This window comes from Homo sapiens, chromosome 10 (genome assembly GCF_000001405.40).
Source record: "Homo sapiens chromosome 10, GRCh38.p14 Primary Assembly".
Classification (NCBI taxonomy): domain Eukaryota; kingdom Metazoa; phylum Chordata; class Mammalia; order Primates; family Hominidae; genus Homo; species Homo sapiens.
In genome coordinates this window covers 119,994,842-120,005,662 of record NC_000010.11, presented here as the reverse complement: position 1 = coordinate 120,005,662, position 10,821 = coordinate 119,994,842, and the positions used below count along the sequence as shown (strand labels likewise).

General features: G+C 40.2%; 1 pseudogene, besides 1 other annotated feature; it reads left to right on the top strand.

The window, feature by feature from the left end:
* Nucleotides 212-373: a silencer, noted in NCBI's record as "fragment chr10:121764802-121764963 (GRCh37/hg19 assembly coordinates)". NCBI's record gives its function as "represses an EF-1alpha promoter that drives an FKBP-Casp9 reporter gene in an ReSE screen in phorbol 12-myristate 13-acetate-treated (for megakaryocytic differentiation) K562 erythroleukemia cells {active_cell/tissue: K562(+PMA)}" and the evidence as "EXISTENCE:reporter gene assay evidence [ECO:0000049][PMID:32094911]".
* NACAP2 (NACA pseudogene 2) lies at nucleotides 7,915-8,667 on the top strand (annotated as a pseudogene).

Genomic DNA, 10,821 nt, shown 5'->3' with positions numbered 1-10,821 from the left:
TTGCAATGTCATCTTAGAATGCTTACCATGAATAGGGCAACTGAAAAAGACACGTGTTCTTGCAGCATTGCTTATGTCATCTTAGAAAAAGCACATTATTCTACATTATTCTTTTGTTCTTAGGAATTCAGGAAAATGTCTCTTTTGTAAACTCATTAAAATGATAGATGATCAGAATAAGCTTGTGAGAGGAAAAAAAATAAATAAATGAAGTGAGGTCAGAGCTTGTGTCTGCCATTGTGAGGACCCAGAGCAGCCTCCTGAAAAGCCACATTACCAGCTGGGCATTCACATGGCCTGAGACATGGGATGTGTCCCTGTACATGCGTCACTACCTGCCAGGTACAGTACAGGCATGTGGGAATGGTCTTGGCTAAGCACTGACTTTTCTAGAAGATAACATTTCCATGTTAGGGTCCTTGCCCATATCTTCAAATGCTGTCTTCAATTGGTATTATTCAGTGTCCTTGGGTTGCAGGTGACTGAAATATTATCTCAGAATGGTTTAAGAAGGCAAAAAAGAAAAGCACACATTTAACGGTTCGTGTGGGCAAACCAAGGAAAGGGGTGTCTGGATGTAAGGATCTAAGCACCCCATCAGGATGTTGCCTCCTCTTCTCGGCTTTTCTCTGCACATCAGCTGCCTTCTCTCAGGCAGATTTCTCCACGGGGCTGGAACCACAATGGCCAGCATCCCGTGGCTGTCACGCAGACTCTCAGGTGGAGAGTCAAGCCTGCCCCCCACCAGCTCCAGTGGGAAACTCTCTCACTGCCCAGTTTGGGTCATATGCTTATCACTGGACCAATCTCTATGAGAAAGAGTGTGTTTGGAGTTGACCCGTGTTCCCCCAAAAGATATATGCAAGTCCTAACTCTTGGTGTCTGTGAATGTAACCTTGTTTGGAAATAGGGTCTTTGCAGATGTAATCAAGTTCAGATGGGGTTGTATTGTATTAGTCCAATAACTGGTGTCCTTACAGGAAGCGAGAAGTTTGAACACAGGTTGGAGTGATACATCTACAAACCAAGAGATACTAGGGGTTGCCAGCAACTCTCAGAAGCTGGGACAGAGAAATGAAACAGATTCTAACTCAGAGCCTCCAGAAGGAACCAACCCTCTACCATCACTTTGCTTTAAGACTCCTACCCTCTACTACTGTGAGAGAATCCATTTCTATTGTGGTAAGCAACCCAGTTTGTGGCATTTCATTACAGCAGTTGTAGGAAACTAAGGTGGAGGGCAGGACACCTCATCTAGTATAAATGTGCATGGCATAGGCTTTGTTTTAAACTGTTTTTCAAAAACTTTTCTTATCTAGCACATTTATACAAGATAAGGTGACCCCTTGTGATGGTTAATTTTATATATCAACCTGACTGGACTAAGAGATGCCCAGATAGCTGATAAAACATTATTTCTAGGTGTGTCTGTCAGGGTGTTTCCAGAAGAGACCTTTGAATCAGTAGACTGAGTAAAGAAGACCACCATCACCAATGCGTATGGCATCCTCCAATTCACTGAGGGCCCAAATACAACAAAAGGGCAGTCAAAAGATGAATTTTCTCTCTCTCTGCTTGAGCTGGGATGTCCAATTTCTTCTCTCCTTGGACATCAGTGTTCCCAGTTCTTGGGCCTTTGGACTTGGACCAGGACTTACACCACCAGCTCCCCTGTCTCTCGGGCCTTTGGACTCAGACTGAATTACACCATGGAATCTCCTGCTTCTCCAGCTTGCAAACGGTAGAGCATGGGACTTCTTGGACTCCATAATCACGTGAACCAACTTCCAATAATACATATATATCTCCTAGTGGTTCTGTTTCTCTGGATTGCAGGTCGATCAGATGCCCACTGCAGTGGGAAGGGAGGCGGGGTACTATGAATGGCAGCCCCTAATACATGGCTGGAGGAGAAGAACGAGCTGTACCCCAGAAAAGGGAGAGGGGCCTTATTACTGGAAGAAGAGGGTAAAGAGTGCTGGTCAGGCAAGCACAGGAGCAACTGCGTCATTTCACACTGTCATCATCTGTGGCCAGATTTCCTAGAGATGGAGAAAGAGGAATACGGTTTTGGGTGGCAGGAAATGTTTATTCCTTCTTCTGAAGATAGTGCAGATTCCTTCACCCAAAGCTAGGAATTTACAAGCCACTGCAATTTGAACAGTTTTATTCTTCAAGGATTGAAGTAGCTTGATTTGGTTTGACAGTCAGGAAGTTCATGGATTCACTCTGTGGTGCAATTCTGCTGTAAGAAATGCTTTATTAATTACACCAAGATACATAACAACTTAAAGGTAAAGTTCCTGTGAAGCACATATTCTATTTCAGTTATCTATCAGATTGACCTTTTATCTCAGCAATAAAACTGAAATTATGCATCAAATATGATAAAAATCTATTCCAATGAATTGAAATTAGTTATCATGAATGTGCTTTTAAACTATTTTTAATTGCTAACATATTGATATTAAATGGAGAGTTAGAAGATGAAAAAGTGTACTTATACAGAGTAATCTTCAAGCGGACACCATTAGATGGCCTCGTGCTTAAAGATTCTATTTCAAGGCAAGCCCCACTGCAGTTAGAATTCTAATGAACCACACAGACAGAATCCTTTCACAGCTTGAGCAGCCAGGAATCTTCTCCACAACCATATTCACTTTCAGTATGCACGCCTTGCACGTGGACAGCAAAGGTAAAGGAATTAGCCTCATGAATATGCATTCAAACCAGTCAGCCAAGAAAGAATCTACTGAGACCTCATTCATCATAGCCAAAGTGCTGCCTTAGACACTCTATGTATATCAACTAAGTTAAATCTCACAGTACTCTTACGGGTTGGGTACTATTATTATCCCCATTTGATAGAAGCAAACTAAGAAACAGAGAGGTTATGGTACTTGCCCAGATCACACGGCCAAGACAGCGGCAGAACACCAGGGTTCTAACTTAGACTATCTGGTTCCAGAGTCTGTGATCTTAACTTGCCTGGGACACAAGGATCTGACAAAGATCCCTAAAGCGTCTTAAAATACCTCTGCCAAGATAAAACCTTTCTAAGTGAAGCTTTAGTCAACAGTACTTGATAGCAGAAAGTGAAATGGTAAGTACAGAATTCAGTTCTATCCATCCACGCGGTGTTTGACAACAACCACGGTAGTCAGGAGGGTGGTAAAGGAAGTGAGGGGGGGCTGCCCTGGAAGGACAGGCAGGATTAGGTTAAGGTGAGCTCATAACCCAGAGAGAGCCACAGTTTGTCTCTTTGCCGTAGAATAGAGTCGTCTTGTTTCCTTTCATGTAGCCTGGGCTGGAATCCACAGGTCACCAGGAAATGTATGGCAAAACCACCCAGGCGAATAGTTGCAAACCCCTGTAAACTAGGGTGACCAACTCATCCTGGCCTTTCCAGACATTCCCTAGTTTTCACACTAAAGTGCTGAGTCCAGAGATCCTGTGAGTCCTGGGCAGACAGAATGCTTGGTCACCTTACCTGTAAAATTCTAATAGGAGAAGGAAAGCTTTTCGAAAAGAAACAGTTTACAACAAAGCCTATGCCATGCACATTTATACTAGATAAGGTGACCCCTTGTGATGGTTAATTTTATGTACCAACTTGACTGGACTAAGAGATGCCCAGATAGCTGATAAAACATTATTTCTAAGTATGTCTGTCAAGGTGTTTCCAGAAGAGACCTTAGAATCAGTAAAGACCACCGTCACCAATGTGGATGGCATCCTCCAATCCATTGAGGGCCCAAATAGAACAAAAAGGCAGTCAAAAGATGAATTTTCTCTCTCTCTGCTTAAGCTGGGATGTCCAATTTCTTCTGCCCTTGGACATCAGTGCTCCCGGTTCTTGGGCCTTTGGACTTGGACCAGGACTTACACCACCAGCTCTCCTGTCTCTCAGGCCTTTGGACTCATACTGAATTACACCACTGGATTGCCGGGTTCTCCAGCTTGCAGACGGCAGACCATGGGACTTCTTGGCCTCCATAATCATGTGAATCAATTCCTATAATACATATATATCTCCCAGTAGTTCTGTTTCTCTGAAGAAACTGCCTAATACACCTCAAAAAGACTAAAACCATTGATACCACTGAACCTGAGCTTCTCTGGACACTGCCACATCGAGGCTGTAGGACCTTAGGAGAATCACCTCATCACTCCAGGCCTTAGGAGGATCACCTCATCTCTCTGGGCCCTAGTTTCCCTACCTGTAAAATTAAATTTCAGTGCTAATAATCAACCTATTATTCTTGAGTTAACGTCAGTGTTAGAGGAGAGCTCCTGACCACACACACATACACACACACACACACACACACACACACACACCCCCTATACAAAGTTTTCTTATTTAGGGGAAAAACTCATACTGCACATTATTTTTCACTTGAGATATTCATTATTTGAGGTATACTCTAGCATAAATTTAGTACTTGGGGATTTTTTTAACGATGATTTTCTAGATTTTTCACGTTTCCTAATTTTACTATAGCTAGTCTTAATTTCACAATTAAGGGCGGGGGTGGGGAGATGCCTTCAGAATAACTGATGTGATAAACATCACAAGACGCTCTTCATGAATGGTAGCTCTTATCTCCCAGACACGTACCTCGGGAAGGCTGAACAAGCTAGGTCAGGAGAACAGCAACCACCAGGAGCTCTCTGCTCCAAATAACAAGGCCCCTGTTGATTGGGCTACCATGTTGCCATTTGAAGACAAGGGTAGAATTTGTGTAGTGGATTATTAAAGAAATGTGGTTAGAACAATTCTAGTCAACAAAAATCCACTAAGCATACAGGACACAGAGAGCTGTGGCTCGGTAAATCTAACTGAAATATAAGCAACTTAATTTCAATAAGTATAAGAAAATGGTTTTGTTGGCCAGGCGCAGAGGCTCATATCTATAATCCCAGCACTTTGGGAGGCCAAGGTAGGTGGACCACCTGATGTCAGGAGTTCAAGACCAGCCTGTCCAACATGGTGAAACCTCATCTCTACTAAAAGTACGAAAAAAAAAAAATAGCTGGGTGTGGTGGCATGCACTTGTAATCCCAGCTACTCGGGAGGCTGAGGCAGGAGGATCGCTTGAACCCAGGAGGCAGAAGTTGCAGTGAGCTGAGATCGCGCCACTGGCCTCCAGCCTGGGTGATAGAGCAACTCTGTCTCAAAAAAAAAAAAAAAAAAAGGTTGTGAACTATTTTCCATGCTGATGTTGGGGAAGGGGACAGCCTAGGCACAGATAATTTGCCAGGTAGTTTATCATGTGACCCACTCACCTTTCCTCTGTGCCCAACTATGATTACCCTCTCACTCTTTGTTTCCAAAGGAATGCAGAGCCAATTTTTTTAATCATGTCTTTGTTTCCTGGAATAGAGGATATTAAGAGATTAAGACTATGAACACTGATGCCCTTCCGACCTGACTCAGCCTTGTACTTCACTCGTGAGTTCAACCTACTCATATAGATGGCAGGTGGCAAGTAAAGACAAAATTATGTTGTCTACCTACTGAGATGGGATGCATCTCAGGTAAGGGACTCATAGCCAAGGTCACGCTGTCAATCAAAGACAGAAAAATTGGATCCTAAACTTCCAGTTAACAGAGCAACAAGTATTTTTACCTTTCATATCAGTAAGAGGGTTATCTCATCTTTAGCTGCTAAGAACTTGTTCTGCAGAGAGATTACAATTTAACACCTAGCATGCCATCTCTGATGGACAACATGCACAAACTTTCTGCCTTTTCCTATCTACAAGATCAGAGTAAGTGTCCAAGGTTTGGTTTATTTTATGTATCCCTAAATACAGAGGTACCCCTGAGTTAGGGTGACACAGAGCATTCTAGAAGCAACCTTATAGAGAAACTTAATTGTAGGCTTAATCCCAAAATAGAAATTCTTTTCACTGCAAATTGTCAGTGTGATTTGGCATGCCCCAAAATACACACTTGGGTGCCATTGGTCATCCTTTCATTAGAGTTTTATTTCTGAGCTGCCTGAAGCTTTTTATTCTTTTATCTTCCTAAACTTCAGTCATTTAAAATAGTGTAGCAGTTATGAAACAATAAACATAGACATCAATGAAATAGCATACTGTCCAGAATTAGACACACATAAATGATCAGTTGGGTTTCAACAAAGGTGCCAGGGCAATGGATTAAAAAAAAAATCTTTTTAACACATGGCCCTGGGGCAATTGCTCATCCACATGCAAAAAAGAAAAGAACAACTCAAAATGCATTATAGACCTAAATATGAGGGCTAATACTATAAAATTTCTGGAATACACAGGAGAAAATCTTAATGACTTTGGGTTAGGCAAAGATTTCTTCAGTAAGACACACAAAAAGCAGGAACTTTTTTTTTTGATAAATTGGACTCCATCAAAAATATAAACATTTTACTCTTCAAAAAATCCTTTTTGCAAAAATATCTGCAAAACTTACGTCTATCCAAAGTACATAAAAAATGCTTACAATTCAATAATAAGACAAATAGGCAAAATATTTGAACAGACATTTTGCCAAAGAAGACATGGATGGCAAATAAGCACACGAAAAAATGCTCTGTATCATTAGTCATCAAGGAAATACACATAAAAATCACAATGAAATACCAGTACACACCCACTAGAATGGCTAAAATTAAAAAGACTGAAAATAACAACTGATGGCAAAGATGTAGAGGAAGGAAATCCTAGCCAGCACAATCAGGCAAGAGAAAGAAATAAAGGACCTCCAAATTGGAAAAGAGGAAGTCAAACTATCTATGTTTTCCAATGATATAATCATATACCTAGAAAACCCTAAAGTCTCCTCCAAAAGACTTCTAGATTTGATAAATGAATTCAGTAAAGTCTCAGGTTACAAAATCAATGTACACAAATCAGTAGCACTACTATATACTGACAACAATCAAGCTGAGACTCAAATCAAGAACTCAATCCCCTTTACAATAGCTGCAAAAAAATAAAATAAAATAAAATACCTAGGAATATACTTAACCAAGGAGGTGAAAGATCTATATAAGAGAACTACAAAACACTGCTGAAAGAAATCACAGTGACCCAAATGGAAATACATGTCATGCTTATGGACTGGAAGAATTAATATCATAAAAATAACCATACCTCCCAAAGCAATCTAAAGATTCAATGCAATTTCTATCAAAATACCAACATCATTGTTCACAGAATTAGAAAAAGACAATTCTAAAATTCATATAGAACCAAAAAAAAGCCTAAATAGCCAAAGCAATCCTAAGCAAAAAGAACAAATCTGGAGGCATCACATTATCCAACTTAAATTATACTACAAGGCTATAGTAGCCAAAACAGCATGGTACTGGCACAAAAGTATCCACATAGACCAGTGGAACAGTACAGAGAACCCAGAAACAAAGCCAGATACTTACAACCAACTGATCTGCAACAAAGTATACAAAAACGTAAATTAGGGAAAGGACACCCTGTTCAGTAAATGGTGCTGGGGAAACTGGATAGCCATATGTAGAAGAATGAAACTGGATTCCTATCTCTCACCATATACAAAAATCATCTCAAGTGGATTAAAGACTGAAATCTAAGACCTGAAATTATAAAAAAAATCCTAGAAGAAAACCTAGGAAAAACTCTTCTAGACATTGGCCTAGGCAAAGAATTTATGACTAAGACCCCAAAAGCAAATGCAACGAAAGCAAAAATAAATAAATGGGACCTGATTAAACTAAAAAGCTTCTGTACAGCAAAATAAATAATCAGCAGAGTAAACAGACAACCCACAGAATGGTAGAAAATATTTGCAAACTATGCATCCAACAATATTTTGACTAATATCCATAATCTACAAGGAACTCAAATCAGCAAGGAGAAAAACAAATAATCCCATCAAAAAAAAGGGGAAGCGTTCTGCATTCCCTGAGCAAAGTGTCCAGCAAAGCCACAGAAACCATCCCTGCTGTGGAACAGGAGTTGCCGCAGCCCCAGGCTGACAGAGGGTCTGGAACAGAATCTGACAGTGATGAATCAGTACCAGAGTTTGAGGAACAGGATTCCACACAGACAACCACACAACAAGCCCAGCTGGCAGCAGCAGCTGAAATTAATAAAGAACCAGTCAGCAAAGCAAAACAGAGTCAGAGTGAAAAGAAAGCACAGAAGGCTATGTCCAAACTGGGTCTTCAACAGGTTACAGGGGTTACTAGAGTCACTATCTGGAAATCTAAGAATATCCTCTTTGTCATCACAAAAGCAGATGTCTACAAGCGCCCTGCTTTGGATACCTACATAGTTTTGGGGGGAACCAAAAATGAAGATTTATCTCAGCAAGCACAGCTAGCAGCTGCTGAGAAATTCAAAGTTCAAGGTAAATCTATCTCAAACATTTAAGAAACAACACAGACCCCAACTGTACAAGAGGAGAGTGAAGAGGAAGAAGTTGATAAAACAGGTGTGGAAGTTAAGGGCATGGAACTGGTCATGTCACAAGCAAATATGTCAAGAGCAAAGGCAGTCCAAGCCCTGAAGAACAACAGTAATTATGTTGTAAATGCTATTATGGAATTAACAAAGTAACCAACTGAAAACAACTTGTTCAGTGTTTCCAAGAAGTAACTGCAGCTTGATTTGAAATTTGTACTGTTTCTAGAAGAGCAATAACAATCATTGCAGTCTGGCTCTCTAGGAAGCCCTATCCCTAGGAAAAGGGAGAACACACCACATCAAGGGATTGCCCTGTGGGACAAAAGAATCTGAACAGCAGCACTTGAGTTCCAGATTTTTCCATGGAAATAGTCTACTCAAATGAGAAGGAATCAGAAAAGTAATTCTGGTGATGTGACAAAAACAAGGTTCTATAACACCCCCAAAAGACCACACTATCTCCCCAGAAATAGAACCAAACCAAGAAAAAAATCTCTGAATTGCCAGTTAAAGAATTCAGAAGGTTGATTATTAAGCTACTCAAGGAGACACCACAGAAAGGTGAAAACCAACTTAAAGAAATATAAAAAACAATACAGGATATGGATGACCATGTCTCCAGAGAAATAGATCTCATAAAGGAAAAACAATCACAACTGCTGGAAATAAAAGACACACTTAAGAAATACAAAATGCACTGGAAAGTGTCAACAATAGACTAGAACAAGTAGAAGAAAGAACTTCAGAGCTCAAAGATGAGGCTTTCAAATTAACTCAATCAGACAAAGACAAAGAGAAAAAGAATTTTTGAAAATGAACAAAGACTCCAAGAAATTTGGGATTATGTTAAATGACCAAACCTAAGAATAACTGGTGTTCCTGAGGAAAAGGAGAAATCTAAAAGTTTGGAAAACATATTTGAGGGAATAATTGAAAAAAAAAATACTTCCCTGGCCTCACTAGAGATCTAGACATCCCAATACAAGAAACTCAAAAAACACCTGGGAAATTCATCACAAAAATTACCTAGGCACATAGTCATCAGGTTATCTAAAGTCAAGACGAAGAAGAGAATCAAGAGCTGTGAGGCAAAAGCATCAGGTAACCTATAAAGGAAAACCTATCAGATTAACAGCAGATTTCTCACCAGAAACCCTACAAGCCAGAAGGGATTGGGGTCCTATCTTTAGCCCCCTTGAACAAAATAATTGCCAGCCAATAATTTTGTATCCAGCAAAACTAAGCTTCACAAATGAAGGAGAGAAAAAGCCTTTCTCAGACAAACAAATGCTGAGAGAATTCACCACTACCAAGCCAGCATTATAAGAAATGCTAAAAGGAGTTCTAAATCTTGAAACAAAACCTCGAAATACACCAAATAGAACCTCCTTAAAGCATAAATCTCACAGGCACTATAAAACAATAACACAATGAAAAAAAGGTATTCAGGCAGCAACTAGCACAATGAATAAAACATTACCTCACATCTCAATACTAACATTGAATGTAAATGACCTAAATACCCCACTTAAAAGATACAGAATGGCAGAATGGATAAAAATCCACCAACCAAGTATCTGCTGCCTTCAAGAGACTCACTTAATGCATAAGGACTCACATAAATTTAAGGTAAATGGGTGCAAAAAGATATTCCATGCAAATGGAAACCAAAAGCAAGATGGAGTAGCTATTCTTATATCAGACAAAACAAACTTTAAAGCAAAAACAGTTTAAAAAGACAAAGAGGGGCCGGGTGCAGTGGCTCACACCTGTAATCCCAGCACTTTGGGAGGCCAAGGTGGGCGGATCACAAGGTCAGGAGATCAAGACTATCCTGGCTAACACGGTGAAACCCCATCTCTACTAAAAATACAAAAAAATTAGCCGGGCATGGTGGTGCGTGCCCATAGTCCCAGCTACTTGGGAGGCTGAGGCAAGAGAATGGCGTGAACCCAGGAGGCAGAGCTTGCAGTGAGCCGAGATCGCGCCACTGCACTCCAGCCTGGGCAACAGAGCAAGACTCCATCTCAAAAAAACAAAAAACAAAAAGACAAAGACGGACATTGTTCAATGATAAAAAGGATCAGTCTAACAGAAAAATATCACAATCCTAAATATATACGCACCTAACACTGGAGCTCCCATATTTATAAAACAATTATTACTAGACCTAAGAAATGAGATAGATGGCAACACAATAATAGTGAGGGACTTCAATACTCCACTGACAGCACTAGACAGGTCATCAAGACAGAAAGTCAACAAAAAAACAAAGAATTTAAACTGTACCTTAGAATAAATGGACTTCACAGATATTTACACAACATTCTACCCAACAACTGCAGTATATACATTCTTTTCTTCAGAACATGGAACATTCTCCAAAATAGA